This window comes from Homo sapiens, chromosome 21 (assembly GCF_000001405.40).
Source record: "Homo sapiens chromosome 21, GRCh38.p14 Primary Assembly".
Taxonomy (NCBI): Eukaryota; Metazoa; Chordata; class Mammalia; order Primates; family Hominidae; genus Homo; species Homo sapiens.
In genome coordinates, this window is record NC_000021.9 from 17632604 (window position 1) to 17657531 (window position 24928).

The 24928-nt window shown below is 39.6% G+C and overlaps 1 protein-coding gene across 3 annotated transcripts in view; it reads left to right on the forward strand.

Moving 5' to 3' along the window:
- The window catches only part of CXADR (CXADR cell adhesion molecule), a 123220-nt gene extending 119561 nt beyond the window's left edge, over positions 1 to 3659 (forward strand). For all 3 annotated transcript variants that reach the window (XR_001754814.2, XM_011529476.3, XM_011529478.3), the window contains one exon: positions 546 to 3659. Coding sequence is in view for 2 of the 3 variants with exons in the window: in XM_011529476.3 (XP_011527778.1) it covers positions 546 to 575 (30 nt within the window). In the remaining variant the exon portion in view is untranslated. The remainder of the gene's footprint in view (positions 1 to 545) is intronic.

Here is a 24928-nt window from a genome sequence, read left to right on the forward strand (position 1 = left end):
ACGCCTGTAATGCCAGCACTTTGGGAGGCCGAGGCGGGCGGATCACGAGGTCAGAAGATTGAGACCATCCTGGCTAACACGGTGAAACCCCATCTCTACTAAAAATACAAAAAATATTAGCCGGGCGTGGGGGCAGGCGCCTGTAGTCCCAGCTACTCAGGAGGCCGAGGCAGGAGAATGACATGAACGCGGGAGGCAGAGCTTGCAGTGAGCTGAGATCGCCACCGCACTCCAGCCTGGGCGACAGAGTGAGACTCTGTTTCAAAAAAATAAAAAAATAAAACTCTGAAGAGAAGGGTGTGAAGGGTTTGAAGGAGGGTGCTCAGATTTGGCTAGGTGTATAATCACAGTGTTCCCAAGGTTTAGGTGGTCTTATTCTCTAAACCTGTGCTAAGACAATTGGATAATGTTGGGGCTCAGAAAACGATGTCTCATAGTGTGGCTCTATAGCATGTTGAACACAGTGAATTAAAGAAAATTGGAAGGCCTGAGAAGCTGCCTCAGAATCAAGGTCTCTCTGATCTTCCTTTGTTTTCTTCCCCCAGGCACAGGGAGAGCTCTCCCTGAAGTTCTGACTGAGGGAATTCCTTCCAAAAGAAACACAATTGTCTTCAATCTCCTGTCTGAAATCTCACTAACCAGGGAAGATTAATCACCAAAGAAGAAATTAAAGATTATCAGCTGGGCCCGGTGGCTCATGCCTATAAGCTCAGCACTTTGAGAGGCCAAGGCGGGAGGATGGCTTGAGCCTAGGAGTCCGAGACCAGCCTGGGCAATATAGTGAGACTCCATCTCTACAAAAAATAATAGCTGGGTGAGTTGGTGCACATCTGTAGTCCCAGCTACTCAGGAGGCTGAGACAGGAGAGTCACTTGAGCTGGGCGGAGGCTGCAGTGAGCTGTGATCGTGCCACTGCACTTCAGCCAGGGCAACAAAGCAAGACCCCTCAAAAAAAATTAAAAGAAAAGATTGTCCCCACATAGTCCCAGACACACTTTTCATCTATTCTTCTGAGGAATGGTGCCTGAGAGACTTTATCTGCGTAATTAGACAGCCTTTGTTCACAGTGCAATTCTGCCACTAAACTTCTCATAAATTGTCACCATCTCTCTCAGAGCCCAGACTAACTTTGTCCCAGGCTATTGTCTGTTCTTTGAGCCAATTCATCTCCCCTAAAAATTATCTATTCTTCCTCTAAAATTACCTACATCCCCTCCTTCCCTCTGCCTTATGAAGAAGGTATTTAACCTTCAATAATCTGGCCCTTCTTTGAGTTTTATACTTTGTCTGACTCCCATGTGCTTGTACATTTATAAATTTGTATGCCTGTTCTCCCATTAATCTGTCTATTGTAAGTTTGTTTATAGATTCGAATTCTCAAACCTTCAGGAGGTGAAAAGAAAGTTCCTTTTGCCCTTACAACAACGTGAGACTAGCTCTGAAGTTTTCATTAGCTATGTGAAGCTTATATCTCAGAATAGCCTCACATACACTGGTAAAGATTAGCAGGTCATTTGGGCTGATGGCATAGTCTGGAATAACAGAGGAGGAAATAAAATTTTAAAAGCTCATGAACCCAAGAGTATGATCTTCAGAGGAGAGATTTCCTATCTCTTAAATTCTACGTAAATAGTGAAGTCCTATATGGGGGGGATCCTTCATCTGGGGCCTACCTTGGGCAGAATAATGTAGTTGTACCTCATTCTATCATAGCTAAAAGACAAAGTACTTTTTAAGACTTTGCAAAATTTTGTTCATGTTGCGTATCTTTTTAAAGTCTGACTCTCTGCACTAAAATAGGATAGCCTAAACAGGGCTCTTTTCGGAGTAAAATTATTATGAGCCCAGTAGTTTTCCCAGTAAGTAAGCTATCAGAACTTACAAAAATATGAGACAGAGCTTTGCAGATGTAGCTAGAGAAAGGTCAGTTGGTGGACTTGAACTTGTTTTTAGTTTATTTATGTATTCTCCAATACTCTAGACTGTTCTAGAAATCACTAGAGAGAAATAATGGTGGTATTCCATGCCTATGATACATCACAGACTACATTTGGAGGACTGCAGAAAGAAGCAAAAACAGAAGTTTCCATAATGAGTGGTAGAGATGTGCTAAATGTCTTCTTTTTCAAACTTTAATTTTTAATTTTTAATTTTTTTTAGAGATGTGATATTGCTATATTGCCCAGGCTATAGTGCAGTGACTATTCACAGGTGCAGTCATAGTACACTGCAACCCTGAACTCCTGGGCTCCAGCAATCCTCCTGCCTAAGCATCCTGAGTAGTTAGAACTACAGGTGCATGCCACAATACTGGGCTTAATGCCTTCTTTACTGATCCTTGATGGTAAAGGGGAAGACCATTTTAGAACCTTTGATTCCTTGGACATAATCCCATGGTACTGCTCTTTAATAAAGATAAATTATAAGGAATTGGATTCTATAGGGAAGAAATGGATGGAAGTTGTAACAAAATGTAATAGTAATGAAATATTAATAGAAAGGCCTAAATAGAATCTGTGGCATAACTCTCAAAATAGTCCTTTAATAACCTCCTTTTGAAAATATCAAGGTTAAGACCTAGAGACGTAAAGTCCTGCCCAAAGTCAATTGTCTGGTTAGTGGCACACAGAGCACTAAAGTTTACATCAGCAGGTTCCCAGTTCAGTACATCTTCTAGAGCTTCTAAAAATTAATGTGAAGATAGTCTTTGCTCTATTGAAGCATAATTATAAACATCAAATATTTGTAAAATATCTTCTATATAGTAGGATGTTTTTCCTTTTATTTATTAGTAAATTTACCACAATATTAATTTAGTTAGTAAATTAGAATTTTTCTTTCCCATTCATCATTTATGTCACCAGCAGGTAATCCTACTCCATCCTCCCACCACATCTCATTTCATTATCACCTGGCCTCCAGAGGGTGGAATCACTTGGGCACTGCTCAAGCTTATGAGATCTTAAAATTTATTTTTAAAATATTTCAAATCAAAAAGTTTTTGAGCTGTGAAATTTAATAAGATATTGAGCTTTCTTCTAGCCTTTTATCCACTAATTCTACTCTTAGAAATTACTTCCTAAAAAAATACTTTTTAAGAAAACCACACACACACAAAATGTCCTCTAACTTTGTTCTTTTTTCTTCCAAGTTGTTTTGTCTGTTCTAGATCTTCTGCACTTTAATTTAAACTTTAGAGTCAGCTTGCTACTTCTACAAAGTAGCTGGCTGGGATTTCTATTAGAATGCCTTGAATATACAGATCAATTTGGAAGAAATGACGTCTTAACAATATAGAGTCATCTAATCTAGGAATATGGTATATTTCTTAATTGACTTAGGTCTTCTTTAACATTTAATTTTACTCAGCAATGTTTTATAGTTTTCAGTGTACAGGTCTTGAACATCTTTTGTCGAATTTATCCTTAAGTATTTTACAGTTTTGATGCCACTGTACATGGCAAACTTTAATTTTAATTTCTGATTGTTTATTGCTAATATAAAGAAATGCAATTGGTTTTTGATATTGACTTTGTACCCTGCCACTGAACTAAACTCACTTTCAGTTTTAACAGCTTATTTGCAGATTCTTTAGGGTTTTTTGATAGATGACAATATCGTCTGTGAATAAACAGAGATTTATGTCTCCCTTTCCAGTCTATTTGCTTTTTATTATTTCTCTTTCCTTATTAGAGTGTTAGAACCTCCAGGATAATGTTGAATAAAAATAGCGGGAGTGGCCATCTGCAATGGTTAATTTTTAAAATTAATTAATTAAGTTGCTTCCAAAGGATGCAGTGTTGGAAGATGGCTCCAGACTTTGAATCCTGTTTTTGGGCAGTAAGATCAAAAGCTGAAGGCAAAAGGTATATACTAACTGATTCTGTCCCTTTTCATTAGGAATAAAATAGCTTTCCTGGAAGATCTAACCAGTAAATGTTCATTTACATTTCATTAATCAGAAATGAATTACATGTCAACTAACGTCACGTTGGGAGGTATCTGGGGAAATAAGTTTTTGTAACTGGGTATTTTGCTGCGTCAAAGAAAATCGAGGTTTAGAAGGTAGGAGAGAGGTTATTGGGTAATTAGCAGACATGATATTGATACTAACAGTTGCTGTTTCATTTATCTAATGCTGTGCAACAAAACATGGCAAAGTCTAGTGACTTAAACAACGACGACATTTAATACGCTCAGGTCTGGATTGCGACAGGGATCAGCTGCAGTGGCTCAAGGACTAAGGCTGGAATAATCTGAAATCTTGCTTCCTCACATGTCTGGGAGTTGATTTTGGCTGTTAGCTGATGGCTCCACTGGGACAGTGCCTGGAACACCTTCACTGGCTCCTCTATGCAGCTGCTTGGCATCTGCACAGAATGGTGGCTGAGCTGCTTTTTATGACTCAGCCTTGGATATCACATGGTGTTACTATTGCTGTAGTCATAGGCTTACCTCTCTATTCAAGGGGAGAGGACCTGACCCCACATTTTTTTCTTTAAGTCTCCTATCGCTTTTTTTTTTTTTTTTTTTTGAGACAAGTCTCACTTTGTCACCCAGGCTGGAGTGCAGTGGTGCGATCTCGGCTCAATGCAACCTCCACCTCCCAGGTTCTCCTGCCTCAGCCTCCCGGGTAGCTGGGATTACAGGCTCCTGCCACCACGCCAGGCTAATTTGTTTTTGTTTTTTTCTTTTGTATTTTTAGTAGAGACAGGGTTTCACCATGTTGGCCAGGCTGGTCCCAAACTTCTGACCTCAGGTGATCTACCTGCCTGGTCCTCCCTGAAGGCTGGGATTACAGGCCTGAGCAACTGTCCCCGGCCAGACCCCACTTCTTGACAGTAGAATGCCAGATACAATTTGCCCGAAAGTGCTTACATGCCCATGCGCTAATGTCTGAACAAGGTTGTTTCACTTCTACAAATGTTAGCCAAAACACTCTTTTTCCCTCCCTCCCTCCCTCCCTCCTTCCCTTCCTTCCTTCCTTCCTTCCTCCTTTCCTTTCTTCCTCCCTTCCTTCCCTTTTCCCAGATAATTTTTTTAAAAAGAAAAATTGGGCCATGTTGTTTGCTCACTTAAAATGTTTCAATACTTCTCATTATAAATCAAATACAGCCAGGCGTGGTGACTCGCGCCTGTAATCCCAACACTTTGGGGGGCCAAGGTGGGTGGATTGATACCTGAGGTCAGGAGTTCCAAAACAGCCTGGCCAACACGGTGAAACCCTGTCTCTACTAAAAAACACAAAATTTAACCGGGTGTGGTGGCACAATCTGTAGTTCGAGCAACTCAGCAACTCAGGAGGCTGAGGTGGGAGAATTGCTTGAACCTGGAGGTGGAGGTTGCAGTGAGCTGAGCGAGATCTCACCACTGCACTCCAGCCTAGACGACAGAGCGAGAACCTGTTTCAAAAATAAATAAATAACTAAAAAGAAATAAATCAAATACAATTTTTTTTTTTTTTTGCTGCAGTTTATGAGGCCTGGTTTATCACTCCAATTTCATCTCATTTTATTCTGCCCTCTCCTTGCTGTGCTTCTGTTACTGGACATGTCAGATCCACAAACATATCTGCCTCTTTTGCTCTACTGCTTTGCACATGCTCTTTGCTCCTCCTGGGACATTTCCTCCAGCACATTGAATGGGCCAGCCCCTGCTCGTTCCTCACTTCTCAGGGGACCTTTTAATAGATGACCAGCTAAGACATTACATATCAACGTTTATGTTTACTAATTTATTGTTTATTTCCCCCTGTGATATAAAGTTTCACAGCCACAGAAACCTTGCCAGTTTGGTCACTATTGTATATCTGTTAGTAGTATGTTTGGCATGTCATCATAATCTGATGAACTAGATACTGTTATTATCAATAGGAACTGAAGCCCAAGGCTCAGAAATGGCACAGCCACACTGGAATCCAGGTTCTCGGACTCCAGAAGCAATATTCGTATTTGCCCTGCTCTGGATGATTTAGCAAAAGAGGGAAAGGATGCATCGGTTGAGTGTGTCATAGTTAATTGAGAAAGGACTCCATGAAGGCAAGGCCACTTGAGCAGGGCCTTGAGTGATGCATATGCATACATTTTGTCAGATGGTGATTGAAAAAAAGGGTATTACAGGTGGTGGGAAGAGTGTGAACAGAAATAGAGTTGAGAAAGCACTTGTACAGTCTAAGAATAGTGAGTAATTGTAGAATAGGTTGTGGAGGATTTAAAACTGGAAAGGTAGGTTGCATCATTCTGTAGGTAATTAGAAGACATTAACATTGTTTTGTGAAGAGGAGACTCCATCTGTGCTTTAGAAAGCTAAAGCTGCACAGGCAAAGTGTAAGGAGTCAGATGTTGGTCTTGAACAAATCGTATATATACCTAGAATATCATTTTACTTATTTATAAAATGGAAGCTGAGTGCAATGGCTCACAACTGTGATCCCAACACTTTGGGAGGCTGACATGGGAGGACTGCTTGAGGCTAGGATTTTAAGACCAGCCCAGGCAACAGAGTGAGCCCCTTTCTCACAAAAAGTAAAAAATAAATACAATTTGAAAGATGAGAATATAAATAACATCATGTTCATAGTTTTTGGTGAGAGTTAAATAAGATGATCATGTGAAAGTACTTTGCAAACTATAAAGCACTACACAAACATTAGCATTTTCATCATAAGTGTTCTGGGTGGTCCTGGGGTAGGGAGAGTGTACAAGTAGGCACATAGCCAGAGTAGTTGGGCAATGGCAGAGATCCAGGTAAAATGTGACCAAGGTCTAAAAGAGGATAAGATAATAAGATAACATTGTCCACAAAATCAAGTTTAAGTAGGTTGTATTAGTCCATTCTTGCACTGCTGTAAAGAAACATCTGAGGCTAGGTAATTTACAAATAAAAGAGGTTTAATTGGCACAGTTTTGCAGGCTGTACAGGAACCATAGCAACTTCTCCTTCTGGAGAGGCCTCAAGAAATTCACAATCATGGCAGAAGGTGAAAGAGAAGCAGGCACATCTTACATGACGTGAGCAGGAGGAAGAGAGAAGTGGGAGGTGCTACCCACATTTAAACAACCAGATCTCATGAGAACTCACTATCATGAGAACAGCACTAGGGGAATGGTGCTAAACCATTAATGAGAAACCACCCCCATGATTCAATCACCTCCCACCACACCCCACCTCCAACATTGGAGATTACAATTTGACATGAGATTTGGGTGGGGACACAGATCCAAACCATATCATTCGCCCCTCGGCCCCTCCCAAATCTCATGTTCTTTTCACATTGCAAAATATGATCATGGCTTCCCCACAGGCTCTCCAAAGTCTTCATTCATTTCAGCATTAACTCCAAAGTCTCAAATCCAAAGTCTCATCTGAAATCAGGCAAACTCCTTCCACATATAAGCTTGTAAAATAAAAAACAAGTTAGTTACTTTCATGATACAATGAAGGTACAGGTATTGGGTAAATACTCCTGTTCCAAAAGGGAGAAATAGGCCAAAAGAAGGGGCTACAGGCCTCACAGAATTCCAAAACCCAGCAGAGCAGTAATTAAACCTCAGAGCTCCAAAATAATCTTTTGGACTCCATGTCTCACATTCAGGTTATACTGGTGTAAGGGGTGGCCTCCCAAAGCCTTGGGCATCCCTGCCCCTGTGGTTTTACAGGGTTCAGCACCTGCAGCTGCTTTCATGGGCTAGCATTGAGTGCCTGAGCTTTTCCAGGCACACAGTGCAAGCTGTTGATGGCTCTACCATTCTGGGCTCTGGAGGATAATGGCCCTCTTATCACAGCTCCACTAGTCAGTGCTCCAGTGGGGACACTGTGTGGGGGGCTACAACCCCACATTTCTCCTCTGCACTGCTGTAGTAGAGGATCTCTCTGAGGGCTCCACCCTGGCTACAGGCTTCAGCCCGGACAGCCAGGCTTTTTTGTACATCCTCTGAAATCTAGGCAGAGGATCCCAAGCCTCAATTCCTGCACTCTGTGCACCCGCAGGCTTAGCACCATGTGGAAGCCACCAAGACTTATGGTTTCCACCCTCTGAAGCAGTGACCCAAGCTGTACCTTAGCCCCTTTTAGCTAAGGCTGGAGCTGGAGAAGTTGGGATGCAAGGGGAGCAGGGTCCCGAGGCTGTGCAGGGCAGTGGGGCCTTGGGCCCAGCCCAGAAAATCATTCTTCCCTCCTAGGCCTCTAGGCTTGTGATGGGAGGATCTGCTGTGAAGGTCTCTAAAATGTCTTTGAGGCCTTTTCCACAGTGTTTTGGCTAACAGCACTTGGCTCTTTTTCACTTATGCAAATTTCTGCAGCCTGCTTGAATTCCTCCCCTAAAAATGAGTTTTTCTTTTCTACCACATGGTCAGGCTCCAAATTTTCCAAACTTTTATGCTCTGCTTCCCTTGTAAATATAAGTTCCGATTTCAGGTCATTTCTTTGCTCACAAATATAAACAAAGGCTACTAGAAGCAACCAGGCCACATCGTGAATGCTTTGCTGCTTAGAAATTTCTTCCACCAGATACACTAAATCATCACTCTCAAGTTCAAAGTCCTACAGATCCCCAGAGCAGTGGCACAATCCAACCAAGCTCTTTACTAAAGCATAGCAAGAGTGACCTTTACTCCAGCTCCCAATAAGTTCATTATTTCCATCTGATACCCCCTTAGCCTGGACTTCATGTCCATATCACTATTGGCATTTTGGTCACAACAATTTAACAAGTCTCTAGGAAGTTCCAAACTTTCCCTCATCTTCCTGTCTTCTTCTGAGCCCTGCAAACTGTTCCAACCTCTGCCCATTACCCGGTTCTAAAGCTGCTTCTGCATTTTCAGGTATCTTTATAGCAATGGCCCACTCCTTAGTACCAATTTTCTGTATTAGTCTGTTCTTGCGCTGCTATAAAGAAGTACCTGAGGGTGGGTAATTTATAAAGAAAAGAGGTTTACTTGGCTCACAGTTCTGCAGGCTGTCTGGGAAGCCTAGTGGCTTATGCTTCTAAGGAGGCCTCAGGAAATTTACAATCATGGCAGAAGGTGAAGGGGAAGCAGGCACATCTTACAGAGCCCAGCAGAAGGAGGCTAGAGAGGTGGGAGGTGCTACACACTTTTAAACAATCAGATCTCATGAGAACTCACTCACTATCATGAGAACAGCACTAGTAGGATGGTACAAAACCATTCATGAGAAACCACCCCCATGATCCAATCACCTCCCAACAGGCCCCACCTGGGAGGGCCCTCAATTTGACATGAGATTTGGGCAGCCACGCAGACCCAAACCATATCAGGTTTATATTCATAAAGCTCTTAGAAGATCACCTGGATGATAACTCAAAATAAGTGATTATATATACACATCAATCTATCCACCTATCCATCTATGTTTGCCAAGTAATAGAAATGCAAAAGACATTTAATGATGAAACCAATCAAGATTATATTCTTTATTATATGAAGGCCATTTGCAGAGAGGAAAGAATCAAGGTTAACAAAAAATTGTAACACAGAGTGCCTGGGAGAATGTTCATTAACTGAGATAGGGAAGAAACAACAGTTTTTAGAAAAGATTAAGACTTACTTTGAAGATGATAGCTTGTCTATAAAAAACACATATCAAGTGTTCAAAAGCTTGTTGAAAATGGAGACATAATATACAGGATGGAAGGAGCTCATGGTCAGAAGAATAGATCTTGGGATTTTTGCTTATAATTAAAGTATTTTGTTGTTGTTTTTTTGTTTTGTTTGAGATGGGGCCTCGCTCCATCACCCAGGCTGGAGTGCAGTGGAACCATCAGGGCTCACTATAGCCTCAATTTCCCAGGCTTAACTGATTCTTTCATCTCAGCCTCCCCAGTAGCTGAGACTATGTGTGCACCACCACACCCAGCTAACTGTTTTTTTGTTTGTTTGTTTGTTTGTTTGTTTGTTTTGGTAGAGATAATGGCTCCCTATGTTGCATAAGCTAGTCTCAAACTCCTGGGCTCAAGTGATCCTCCCACCTTGGCCTTTCAAAGTTCTGGGATTACAGGTGTGGGCCGCTATGCTCAGCCTGGTTAGTTGAAGTTTTGGATCAGACTATCAAGAATAGAAAGAAAGCAGGTTAGAGAAAATGTTCAAGGGCAGACCCTTAGAGCTATGCTTCTCAAGCTTTACATGTACATGAATCATCTGAGCAGGTACTTAAAATTCAGATCCTGGGATTCTGATTCAGCAGGTTCTTAGAAGGGGCCTGAGATGCCATATTTCTGACAAGCTTGCAGATCACTGCCATATTGTTAGTCCATGGCCACAGAGCAGCAAGTCCCTCCAACCTGGTGTACTGAGGCATGACTAGAAAATTCAGGGCCAGGGTGGAGTAGGAGTAAATGGAACTTGAGAATGCAATATAATTAATAAATGGAGAAGAAAGTTTCCAAAAAAGAAAAAAAGAGAGAGAGAGAGCAAGAGAGAGAGAGCTTCTTAGTGCAAGGACAATAATTGAAGTTGTTAATTTTGGCAATTAAGCCAAAAGGTATAAATGGGAGAATAGTTTAAGTAGATGAAAGATGGAGGTCAGATTACACATAGCAGGTAGAAAAACTGAGCAGTGATTGTAAACCAGCCAGTGGAAAATTCAGCAGAGAAAGAAAGATGGGTAGTGGCTGGTAGCTCAATAGGGTAGTAACTTTATGAGAAGTATTGCTTTTAGGAGCAAAAATACTCTAGTGGAGAAGAAAAGAGAAAGAAGAGAGGAGGACAGACAGAATATGCCCTAGAGAACAAAAGGAGGACTTAAATCCAATCACAGGCAAAAATTAGACTTGGAAAGAGGATAGGTGAAAAATACAGAGATGATTTCAAGCAGAGGAGAGGCTAGGAAATAGATACATTAATTTTCAATAATTTTATCTGCTGAGAGTGGGGTACAGAACTAAGACAGATGATTCAAGGAGCATAGAAAATATTTCTAATAGTCTTTCTGGGTGACATGACAAAAAACAAAGAAGAGTGAAATAAAGATGGCCCTACAGAATGAGGACACATTGAGGCTAGATAGCATGAATTCATAGTGATGCCAAATGGCACCATTACATGACTTTCTCAAGCAATGCACAGATGCTTACAAATGAAACAGAAGTAGATGGCTGGGCTTATACAGGTGTTGGGAGATGGACAACACGAGAAAGTCATGCTGCTCACATTTTAATATCTTTGATTGTTGCTTCACAGTTGGGTAAAGAGCCAAGTGAAACCAGGAGAGAGGGAAGAATCAGTGGTTCAAAGCAACGTGATACAGAAGAATGAACACCAGACGGATAGACTGAGAACCAGGAGACTTAGGTTCCAATTCCAGTTCCACTTTCTAGATGGCTGACTTTGTCCCTTCACCTTCATAATAAAAGTGTTGACGTAAATCAGTTAAAAACCTTGGCTATGCATAGAATTGCCTGGGGATGTTTATACAATATTATTCCTGGTCCCTATTTTAGAACAACAAAATCAGATTAGGAGATGTCAACTGGATATCTATGTTTTTAAAGCATGTCAGGTGATTTCTATTAGATAGCCAGGGTTGAGGACAACTAGGAAAGATGATCTCTAAAGTTTATTTTTCTTTCTAGTCTTTTTTAGATTCTCCAAGAAAGACAATGGTAAGACCAGAGGCAAAATCAAATTCAGTAATAGTGGATATCCTTAGTCCATTAAGGCTGCTATAACAGAATAAACTGGTTGCCTCATAAACAACATAAATTTATTTCTCACAGTTCTGGGGCCTGAGAAGTTCAAGAGGAAGGTGCTGGCAGATTTGATGTCTAGTGAGAGCCCACTTCCTGGTTCATAGATGCTGCCTTTTTGCTGTGTCCTCATGTGATAGAAGAGGTCAGGAGGCTCTCTAGGGTCCCTTTTATAAGGTCACTAATCCCATTCATGAGGGCTTCTCCCTATGGCCTTATCACCTCCCAAAGGTACCACCTCTAAATACTACCACATTGGGGATTAGGCTTCAACATATGAATTTTGGGGGACATAAACATTCAGTCAAGTGCAGTGAGTGATAAGAAATGTTGAAAAAATAGATCAGAAAGTGCAATGTCAGGGCAATGATGAGGTTGGGGGAAAGGCCTTTTATGTGGGTGGCGAACACTACCTAGGGTTAAATGCTGTGGCAGCACAGAAATAGATTTTATTCTTTTTCCATGAAGAACTTATAGAGTTCAGATGTCCCTTCCAAATCTCATGCTGGGATGTAATCCCCAGTGTTGGAAATGGGGCCTGGTGAGAAGTGTTTGGCTCATGGGGGTGAATTTCTCATGAATGGCTTGAGCCATCTCCTTGGTAATAAGTGAGCTCTCACTCTGAGCTCACATGAAATCTCGTCGTTTAAAAATGTGTGGCACCTCCCCCCCACACACATTGCTCTTGCTCTCTTGCTCTCTCTCTCTCTTGCTCCTGATTCTGCCGTGTGGGATGTTTGTTCCCCCTTTGCCTTCTGCCATGACAGGAAGCTTCATGAGACCTCCCCAGAAGCAGATGCCAGTATGCTTCCTGTACAGCCTGTAGAACCATGAGACAAACTTCTTTTCTTATAAATTACCCAGTCTCAGGTATGTCTTTATAGCATTGCAAGAATGGCCTAATACAGGGATATTATGCAAAGAATCTGTAGAATAAAAGCCATAGTCAAAACAGTGGACAGCATGTGGGATCTAGCCAGAGCCAATCTCAGCACTTACAGACTGGGCCACAGACTAACATAAATGGTCACCTGGCAGCTGAGCCCAGGGTGAAATGACAAAACCACAGAAACTTATTGGCTATTAATTCCTTTCATGTCTCTCATGTCTGTCACCCTCAGGTCTGGAATGCAGGCTCCTCAGCGGTCTCTCTCCTTCGTATTTTCTTCTCCATCCTGCTCTGTGATTCATTTCTCTGGGTCATCTTCCTATCACTTCCGATGGCTGACCTCTCTCACAATTCTTCTACTACTCTCTAGAAATTTCATTCTATTTTCTATGACATCCGCAGTGTCTTTGCAGAACTTACTATGTTCCTGTCCTAATGGAAATTTGGCTTTTCCTTGATGTCATCACTTCTCTGGCAGTTTTCTCTGAAAAAGCTGGCCATTCTTCCTTTCTGTATCTCTGGGCCAGGAGATGATAGTGACTTAGACCTTCATGGTCACTTCCAAAGTTTAACTCTACAATCTTATCCAAAAAGCCCTCTTTCCTTGGTTGTATGACATCTAAGTCTAACATGCACTACCCTGCATCAACTAATCTGGTCACTTCCACAATCAATTAGAACTAAGACAAGTGGTTCCTCATCAAAAAGAATATGAAATGAAAATGGCCTTCCCTATATGTCTTCCAGTCTCTTATTACTTTACTTTGGAAGCAACTTTTATCACCAGCTTTTGGATATCCTTTAAAGGTATTTTGTGCAAATATAATCACATGCATAGATATGCACATATAAATGCATGTTTATATAAATTTTTGGTTTCTTAAAGATAAACAAATGGTAGAAAATTATATATCCTGTTCTAAAACCTTTCTTTTTTTAAACAAAATATTTTAAAGGCTTTTTCTTATCAATGCATACAAACTTTTCTTTTAGAAATATTACTGCATAATATTTTATGTGGATGTTCAATAATTTATTTGACCTGTCCCCTACTGATGAACAACTAGATTCATTCTAGTGTTTCTAGTCTTCTGCTATTGCAAACAAGGCTTCTATAAATAACATTCTACTGATGTCACCTTTTACTTTTACAAGTTATTTGGGTCAAAAGTTATTTGCTTTTTAAAAGTTTTGATAGATACTGAAAAAATTATACTGCATGAGCTGTGCACTAATTTATATACCCATTAACTACGTTTAAAAGAACCAGTTTCCCATTAGCCTTGCTAACATAATATTTTACACTTTTTTTTTACTTTGCCAAGAACATAATTGAAAATATTTCATTGAAATTTTAATTTATGTTTTTCCTATGTTGAGTGAAGTTGAGCATCTTTGCAAATGTTTAACACTGTACTTTCTTTCCTGGACATCTCCCCTGCCTATTTTCCTATCGTTTTATTGCAAGTCTTTCCATAGTAAGGAAAATAGACTTCTACTAAAATATGAGTTGCAATAATTTTTTCTCAGTTTGTTGAATTGTCATTTTGGTGTTTGTCATGCAGAACAATTTTATTTGCATGTCGTTTAGTTTATAAATCTCTTCATTTTGCTATCTATATTTTATATCATACTTTATACTTGTTCTATTTTGGATAATTTTTTAAAAATTATTTTAACACTTCCATCTTTTTTTTATTTTTTATTTTTTAACACAAATCATTGGTCCACCTGAAATCCTAGTCTTCTTTCCAACTCTTGCCTCGATCGTGGATCACTTCAGTGTTGACGTCACCTACACAAACCCCACCCACCATGTTCCCGGATCTCCTCTGCTCAGACAACCACCTCCCTTCTCACCTCTCATGACAACATCCTGGAGTGTCTTATCCTTGTGTGATGCTTCTCCATTTCTAAAACTGTAAAACTCTCACATTCTATTATTCTCACTCCCTCAACATAATCTCTTATCCTTCTTGGTCTCTTGCTCTCTTAGTTCTGTTACATATTTGTAATAGTTTCATTTAAACCTCAGATGTTTCAAATCTCCCTTTTCTCTCATATGTCTGCCCTTGCTAGGCAGGGCCACATCATTACGTAAGCACTTTTGCCTTTTGGGGCCCCTTCCTCCATAAAAGAATATTAAAAGGTACATTTTATGATTACCTTATAAAGATAAATATATTACTATGCATAAAAACATTTTTTTGGTGTGAAAGTTTTTTTTATTCTGATTCTAAAAATAAAATAAAACATTTTTGTGGGCCCCAGAAGCCTAGTGAACCCCAGGTTCCATTCTTACTATGTGTAAAGTATCAGTCAGCTCTGCTCCTAGGCACTGATTGACTACTACCTTTTTAAAATTGAGACAGGGTCTCACTCTGTCTGGAGTGTAGTAGTGCGATCTCAGCTCATTGTAACCTCTGCCTCCAGGGCTCAAGCAATCCTCCCACATCAGCCAGCCTCCCAAGTAGTAGTTTTTTTTGTATTTTTGGTAGAGAAAGTGTTGCCCAGGCTGGTCTCAAACTCCAGGACTCAAGCTGTACGCCTGCCTTGGCCTCCCAAAATACTGGGATTACAGGCATGAGCCACCGTGCCTGGCCAGAACCACTTTTCTCCCTTGGCCCTCTTCTCCCTTGGCCCTTGTTTTCCCTGTGTATCTGCATTGCCCACCTCCAACCCTAGATAAATCTGTTGAGCTCTACTAGAGAAAATTATAAAGAGGGCTGATGCTATCAAAGATTTAGGGTCTATGACATAAATTGGGCCCTCAACACTGCTTAACCATTTTTCTACTTGTCCCTGATGAATTTTTTGTTTCATTCCTCAAATTAATCATTCCAAATCATTTAGCAGTCTCCCCAGCTAAGAGAAAATAGTGTAAATTATCTTAATTCCCTGTCCTTTCATATTCTGATTAGCCCTGACTAAGTAGCAAAATAACCCAAGATGTAGTGGCTTAAAACAAAATTTATTTTTCTTTCAAGAGTCTGTGTACTGACAGCACGGCGGGGCAGTTCTTATTGTGGGTCTCTTATGTGACCTCCATCACCATATTGAAACTATTCTTTTTTGGTCACTAAAGACTTCTCAATTGTCTAATCTAATAGGTACTTTAAAACCTTTATCTTAACCTTTTCATAATATTTAAAGATATTGATCACTCCCCTGTTCTTGAAACTATTTGTGGGCTTTTCTGAATCTTAGTTTTCCGTATGACTTCTTGGTACAATATGGATGGTGAAGTCTTAGAGAATGAAAATAAAGAATAGGATAGTGTATTAGTTTCCCACGGTTACTAGAACAAATTACGACAAACTTGGTTTAAAACAACAGAAATTTGTTCTTTCATGCTTCTGGAGGCCAGAGGTCCAAAGTTAGCATTGGTGGGCTGCAATCAAGGTGTTGGCAGGGCCATGTTTCCTCCAGAAGTTCCAGAAAACAATCCGTTTCTTGCCACTTCCAGCTGCTGGTAGCTGTCAGAATCCCTTGGCTTGTGGGTACATCACTCCAATCTTCAAAGCCAGCACCTTAAATCTCTCTCTCTCTTCCATCTTCATATTGCTTTCTCTCCGTGTGTGTCAAATCTCCTCTTGCCTCTTTCTTATAAAGACACACGTGACAGCATTTAGGGATCACACAGATAATCCAAGACAATCTCTTCAACTTGACATCCTTTATTTAATCACATCTGCAAAGACATTTTTTCAAATAAGGTGACATTTATAGACTTCAGGGATTAGATCATGAATATCTTTCAGAGAACCATTTTTCAGTGTCATATTGGAGAATAAAACTGACCTAGGAATTCCAAACTATTTTGAAAGTCATGGATAATTGGCTGAGGTGAATCTAGCTAGTGTAAACAAATACATGAATTTCAAAAGATCAGTACAAATCATTCAGAGTGTTTTTTGTTTGTTTTAAGAAAAGACTGGAAGCTGTACTCTGGAAGAAGAAAATGGTGACTCTCTTGCAGGTTTAAGACTAGTAGAAGGAAGTGGCTGTCACTGAAATGGGCTTCAAGGGAAGAAATCAGGAGAAAGCTAAATTTCAGTTAGGACAGGAAGGTAGTGTAGGGGGGCTTGGAGCACTCCTGTAGTCCCAGCTACTTGAGAGGCTGAGGCAGAAGGATCATTTGAGCCCAGGAGTTCAAAGCTCTAGTGTGCAATGATTCGTGAATAGCCACTGCACTCCAGGCAACAAAGTGAGACCCTGCCTCTGAAAAACAAAAATAACAAAGGTAGAAGTAGCATTAAGTGAATATTGACCTTGATATAACAGTTATGATAAAATGAAATCTTGTTAGTGTAGGGAGAGACTATCATAAGTTAATTTGAAATAGTATTTATTTCAAATTTATATAGTGGTAGCAGAAACCACTAGAATAGATACTGTATAGTTAATGCATCAGTAATTAATTACTGTTGATATGGAAAGACTATTCAAATTTCAAACAATAGTGCTTAACTGTGCACTTATTCAGTAACTATAATTAAACAGAATTAATTGAATTGATCATCTAATGAACATAGTGATCTTTAGAAGTCTGACATCACATAGCTGTAGAACAATTGTCCCAGGAGACTCTTTTGAGCCCTGACCTATCAGGGGGTAAGCATACTTCCTCATGTTATCAAGTAGTCATTTACATATACAGCTCCTTAAATCCAATTTTAAACTGTTTTCTTCTTCTTTACTTTCAATCTAAAACAGTAAAAATTTTAAAGGCAGTTAATTGTTAATGGTAATAAAATCATATTTTAAATTACCATGAATTTGCTTTGAAGTGTAGAGACAGTTTTTAGTGTTGAACACGGTAGACTGAAATTCAAAAAGAACAAAGTCAAAAATGCACCACAATTGCTCCTGAAGCAGAGGCTATTGATTTCTTGCCCATTATCTCATCACACAGAAAGTGAAGGGAGAAAAATACAAGTTCAAAGACACCAGCTACTCAGGTAACAGGCAGGAGCTTCAAGTGAAAATTTCTGCCTCATTAAAAACATTTAAAGGAAGCAGCTTTTCTTTAAGTAGGAATCATTATTCCCAGTTTGAGTTCATCCTCTGGAGTTTTCACCTCTTCAGAAGGGCACATTCTGTGCAATTTCTAAGAAGTGCTTCTTTAATGGGAGGGATTTATGTTAAGTTGGTTCAGGGGAGGTAGACCATTGTGGAGCCTTTTTAATGGACTACAAAAGACTGTCGAGTAATTAAATAGATTTCCTTTCCCTTAGACTGTTCCATGGTTCTAAAAACACTCAGCTGAGCATGTAAAATCAATTTCCATTACTGGCCTTGACCTTTGCAGTTTTGTAAACATGTTTTTTCCCTGGCTTTGGAATGTGGTTCAAAGGCAATAGCAGAAGACTAGAGGATGAGACAGGTTCTCTTAATGGAAGTTAACTTTTTTTACAGTGAAAATCTCCTTTTCTCACAGACATTCATTCAACTGCATATGTTATAAATATAATTATATACATACCTGCTTATTTATGTTTATATACATATGTATATGTGTATTTAAATTGGAGTATATAAATATATGTATGTATTTTTTTTAATTGACAAATCATAATTGTATACATTCATGGGGCACCATGTTATGTTTTATGTATCTATACAATATGAAGTGACTAAATCTAGCTAATTAACATATCCATCACCTCACTTACTTATAATTTTTTTTTGTGGTGAGACATTTGAAATTTACTCTAAGTTATTTTGGAATATACTATACAATACTGACTGTAGTTACTCTGCCGTGCAATAGATTTCGAAACTTATTTCTCCTAATCATACATTTGTGCCCTTTGACCACCAACTCCCCATTCCCTGCCCCCACAAAATATAGGAAGTTATACATCTTTTTGTTTTCCTCCACAGATACGTGTTTCGTTTTCACTGCTCAAAGGTATTTTCCCCCTTCCCATTCCAAGAAAATAGCCACGCCATTGTGTTCCAGGGGCTTTGGATGGTCGAATGGAAAGCAGGTGTTCCCCAAGAACAGCTTCATTCCATTTTTGTTTTGTTTTGTTTGGATGATTAGACCTACTGCAGGGATTATGCCACATCACGTAGAGTGGAGGAAAAGAAAGATGAGGTCTTCTAGGGGGTGCTGGGAGGTGGAGGCAGAATTGACTTCAGGTAGCAAATTCCTCGAGACAAGAAGGAAGGGAGTTTGGGTGGTTTGCAAAGAAAGTAGCCCCCAGGTCCTGCTTGTTAACTCCTAGTTGGGTGGATTGCCTCAGGACAAAGGGAAGACCTCTAGGAGCCCTGGTCTCAGGAACTGCCTTGATAGAGAAGTCAGAGACCTTTGTCCAAGCTTATCGGTGAGTACCACTTCCCTCAGGGACTAGATCATGAGAGCCTGGACAATAAGCATATCAGTGAGGACCAGTGGAGGCCATACACCTTTCTTTCAGGATTTAGGACCTAAGAAGACATCTCTACTCCCGATTTCTGTGTCACCTGGAAGTGGAATTGGAGGAGGGAAGTCCAGAAATGATTAAAATGCAATTTCCTACTTGCTGACGCAGCTCAATTTGATTTAAACAAAATTTGTGATACTTCTTTTTCTCAGAGCTAAGGTGAAATTTTCACTGCTTTTTCTTTCCCTTACCATTTGTTCATCTGCAAAATGGTGATTATTGTACTCACCTTGCAGAGTTGTTTCTAGCATTTAATCAAATGACCTGTGTAGAGTGACTATATCACCACCATAATAGAAGGTGCTCAATAAATTGTCACTAGGAAATATTCACATTATATGTGTTCATAGTGTTGCAAAAATGGAATCAGGTGCTAGGTTTTTAAAGCACAAGACATACTTCTAGTTTTCAAGAATTTTATATTATAATTATAAAGCTATCTAGAAGTACTAGGTTCATATCTCTAAGCAAGAAATACAGGCAGGTGAATCATGGGAAATTGAATTCCATTCAATTTCATAAAAGTAAATTGAATGGAAGAATTTGGAGGCAGAAGTCATGATGTAAGACAGAAAACCTATGGGAAGCTTAAGAGAGAAGATAGCAACACTAAAGGTGAAAGGAATTTGTCTGTGATGCTATCATTAGAAAATCTCATAAACAGAGAGAAAGAAAATCTTCTCCAACACACAACATTTGGACAGCAGGTTTAGATTTTCTTCATCTTTTTTCTCTTCAATTTTTTTCCACTGCAACGATAAGCTAAGAGATTGATTTTATTTCAAGAATAACTAAGGGTATACTAATATGCATATCTCAAAATAACATTGCATTATTGAAGACATACTGTTCCAATAGTCAAACAGTTAACAGAGAGGGGACAGGAACCAACAAACTGGAAAAACACACCTGTATTATACATAAAAATCAGTGGCCAATATTTCTCCAGTTATTCTCAAAAGAAAAATACTCAGCAAGTTACAAACTGAAAAGCTTTGCTTAAAAGCTAAACAAAACAAAACAAACCTTCCATGTATAAGAAAAGCTCAGCCCCTTAAAAACGAGACTGTTGGTGGGAGTTGAACCGTTGTGGAAGACAGTGTGGCAATTCCTCAAGGATCTAGAACCAGAAATGCCATTTGACCCAGAAATCCCATTACCGGGTATATACCCAAAGGATTATAAATCATTCTACTATAAAGACACATGCACACGCATGTTTATTGCAGCACTATTCACCATAGAAAAGACTTGGACCCAACCCAAATGCCCATGAATGATAGACTGGATAAAAAAAATGTGGCACATATACACCATGGAATATTATGCAGCCATAAAAAAGGATGAGTTCATGTCCTTTGCAGGGACATGGATAAAGCTTAGCATCATCCTTAGCAAACTAACAAGGAACAGAAAACCAAACGCTGCATGTTGTCACTCATAAGTGGGAGTTGAACAATGAGAGCACACGGACACAGGGAGGGGAACATCACACACTGGGGCCTGTCAGGGGCTTGGGGGAAAGGGGAGGGATAGCATTAGGAGAAATACCTAATGTATATGATGGGTTGATGGGTGCAGCAAATCACCATGGCATGTGTATACCTATGTAACAAACCTGCACGTTCTGCACATGTGCCCCAGAACTTAAAGTATAATAAAAAAAGATTTAAAAAAGACAAAACAAACAAAAACCAGATAGACATCCATAAAGTAAAACAAATGAGAAAAACTGGCTAAACTTCTCAAACTAAATTATATCAAATATATATATGCATTTTTGCAAAATAAAGTACTAAACTATTCTTTGTAGACATATTCATTACATTTATTTTAATAACTACTTTGATATAGGTTGACTGGCTCTATTCTATTTGTTAAAGAAGGCAAATGTTCCCAGCCATGTTTTACATTAACATGAATTATACTGCCTTTTTTGTTTTTCTGTTTTGGTTTTTTTTTTTTTTTTTTAAGGGGATTTCACTCTTGTTGCCCAGGCTGGAGCGCAGTGGTGTGATCTCTGCTCACCACAACCTCCACCTCCTGGGTTCAAGCGATTCTCCTGCCTCAGCCTCCCGAGTAGTTTGGATTACAGGCATGCGCCACCACGCCCGGCTAATTTTTGTATCTTTTAGTAGAGATGGGGTTTCTCCATGTTGGTCAGGCTGGTCTCGAACTCCCGACCTCAGGTGATCCGCCCACCTCAGCCTCCCAAAGTGCTGGGATTATAGGAGTGAGCCACCGTGCCCAGCCTGAATTATACTGTTTAATGAAGACCCAGCTTTTCATTTGTTTTAAATCAAAGTTATAGGTGCACAAAGTTTAAAAAATAAAATAATTCAACAGAATATTCCAAATACTCCTTACCTCCTGTGATCCATTTTTTTCTACTCAGGATCAACCACTTTCAACTCTTACCTGTTTTGTTTCTTTCTCAGGTATATGACCTTGATGTTTCTAAATAATGTGCTAATATTTCCAGTCTTGTTTTTCCCCAGCCATTATCTATTAATATTTACATCCCATTTTGTTTTGTTAAAATTTTTTATTCTTAATTATGGATACAAAATAGTGGTATAGCTTCCCATTTTGGAAAATGGTGACTCCTCTTTACTTCTCATATCTATACTCCACCCCCATCCCATCACATGAATTCTTCTTTGCTCCCCATCTTTCTAAGGTGGTTATATTATTATTTAAGTTGTAACAAATTATTGTATGATGATGATGATGATGCAAATGCTATTCACAACTATGCCTTGTAGAATACAATGATTTATACAAATATGATTGTTTTTCCTATTTAAAGCCTGGTTTTCTCTAAATTAAATAGCTGTCCTTAAATATTTTTATATTAGTTTTCTATATAATCCTAATTCATACTTTCTGCCAATTGCCTAAATCTCTCCTGGTGTTGCATACCCCTGATGCACTCCTTCTCGAAGATGATAATTTGTTTTAATCTGGAAAGGCTGATCTCAGAGCTGGTCACACAGCTGTATTCATGGAATTGACTATGACCACACTCCTGCCATTTCATTCACCTCTCTCCCCTGTCCCCAGGGTTTCATGTCTTCATTTTTCTTGGTTTACCCACTGACTTTACTTAAGCACATTCTCCAGGTGGTTATCTTAGAGAGGGTGCAGGTGATGTAAAATTCTTGATACCTGAATGTCTGAAAACATTCTTATTCTTCTCTCATACTCAATTGATAGCTTGGCTAGATACAGATGTCTATATTGAGAAATGCTTTCTTTCAGAATTTTTAAGATGTTGCTTTTCTAACTTCCAGTGTGCTGCTGAAAAATCCAAGGCTATTCAGATTCTTGGTCTTTTTAGGTGACCATTTCCCCTCCTCTTTGGAAGCTTGCCTTTGTCCCCAGTTTTAAGACTTTGTGATGATGTGACTTCAGTATGGTTTACTCTTAGCCATCATCTGCACACTATGAATTCTCTTTTAATCAGAATACTTAGGTCATTCTGTTCTGAGAAACTCACTTGAAATACTTCTTAAATAATTTTCTCAGCCTTATTTTCTCTGTTCTATTTCTTGAGAACTCTTATTTGAATATTGAACTTATGAACTTGTCCTCTAAGTTTCTGATTTTTTTCTTCTCTTTTTTATTTTTGGTTCTGCTTTCTGGAAGATTTCTCCAATTTTATTTTGTGAAACTTCTATTGAGTTTGTCATTTATGCCATTACGTATATTTTTCTTTTCACTCAGCACGTTCTAGTCTCACCATTATATTTTTAAAGAATCTAATCTTTTATATTTTTATTTATTGGATATTCCTTTTCTTATGGCAGGCTATACTTGTTTCATGGAAACAATATCTTCTCATAGTTCCCTGAGGATATTAATGATAATACATTTTCTTCCCTCTGTGTCATCTCTGGTTCTTTTGGTTTGCTTACACTTTAACTTTGTTTTCTATTTTTTGTATTAGATGTCTTAAGTATCTAGTGATCCTTCATTGTTTGCATATATTTAAGAATATGGCTCACTTAGAGTGTGTACGTGGAGATTGTGAACTTTGTTGTGGGGATATCTGTGTAGGTCAGTGTCATGTAATATTGTTAGCAGTGGCAAATCTGTACAGGTGTGCAGTGACTCAATTCTTGCCTCCTCTGAGGAAAGAATTTGGCTAAGGGGCATAAGATAGACTGAGAGACTGAGGCAACTTTTAGAGCAGGAGTGAAAGTTTATTAAAAAGTTTCAGCGCAGGAATGAAAGGAAGTAAAATGCACTTGAAAGAGGGCCAAGTGGGCAACTTGAGAGCTCCAAGGGCCCTGTCTGACCCTTGACTTGGGATTTTATACATTGCTGTGATTCTGGGATTTGCATTTCTTTTTCCCTAACTCTTCCTTTGGGGTGGGCCCTCCGCATGTGCAGTGGCTTGCCAGCACTTGGGCTGGGCTGCATGCACAGTGAATTTACTGAAGTTGTACACATGTTCACTTGAGGTGTTTTTCCCTTACCAATCGAGCGTACTTAGAGGCAAGTCATATACCATTTATGTCCTGCCATTTTGCCTCAGTCCACATGCTTGAGCCCACTTGCCCAACCCCTGATATTTTATTGGGAACCTGCTGATAAACAGCTTCAGCTATTTTCTGGCTATTTCCTTGGCACCAGCTGCAACCAATTATTATTTTAGAGAGACAGTTTTAACAACTGCCTGACCATCACCTGATGGTCGTCTGACATTCCTCGGGGTTGGGGGGCAACCCTCTTCTGCCCTGCTCATGTCTGCCTGGCTACCTGCTCTAACAATATAACTTTTTATGATGTTGAACATGTTCTATATTTGCACTGTCCGATGCTATAGCTACTAGCCACATGTGCCTATTGATCACTTGAAATGTGACTAGTGTGACTGAGGAACTGGTGTTTTAATTTTACTTAATTTTATTACTTTAAGTTTTAGAATAAATTGCCACAAGCGTCTACTTCCTACTTCATCGGACAACACAGATCTAGGCTATCTCTGAATTTTTTCTATAGCCAGTTTGGTGGATTCATTAGATAAAGAGTTTTTAACTCCTTTCTGGAAGATTTAGGCCTGATTGCTAGCATGAATGAATTTTAGTTTTTAATATGTCAACATCTACCTAATCCTAATTTTCTGTTCAGTATTGCAGTTCTCACTTCTCCCAGCACCCTCTGTGTTAGCTTTGCCCAAAAAATAAATTTCCAGGCTTTTCTTGAAAGTAGATAGGAGACTTGAGGCTCTAATTGTTTGTTTTTGCTCTTTTCAATTTTATTTTCAGAGCCACCTAGCACTACCAGTTCCCAAGACTTGTGTTGCAATCAATGGCTTCTCAGCTTTTCTCCTACCATCTTGGGAGCCAGCACTTTTTCTGTATGCTACATCAGTTTTCTTTCATTTATTTCCTTTCCAACTTCCTTTTTTCTTTTTTTTTTTGAGATGGAGTCTTGCCCTGTCACCAGGCTGGAGTGCAGTGGTGCGATCTCAGCTCACTGCAACCTCTGCCTCCCAGGTTCAAGTGATTCTCCTGCCTCAGCCTCTTGAGTAGCTGGGACTACAAGTGCGCACCACCACGCCCAGCTAATTTTTGTATTTTTAGAGATGGGGTTTCACCATGTTGGCCACGATGGTCTTGATCTTTTGGCCTCGTGATCCAGCCGCCTCAGCCTCCCAAAGTGCTGGGATTCAGGCGTGAGCTACCGCGCCCGGCCTTCTTTTTCTTTTTTCCGTCACATGGGCTGGAGTGCAGTGGCACGATCACACTCACTGCAACCTTGAACTCTCAAGCTCAAGCAATCATCCTGCTTCAGCCTCCTGAGTGGCTGGGACTACAGGTGTGAGCCACCATGCCTGACTAATTTATTTTTGCTTTTATCTTTTGTAGAGACAAGGGTCTCACTACGTTGCCCAGA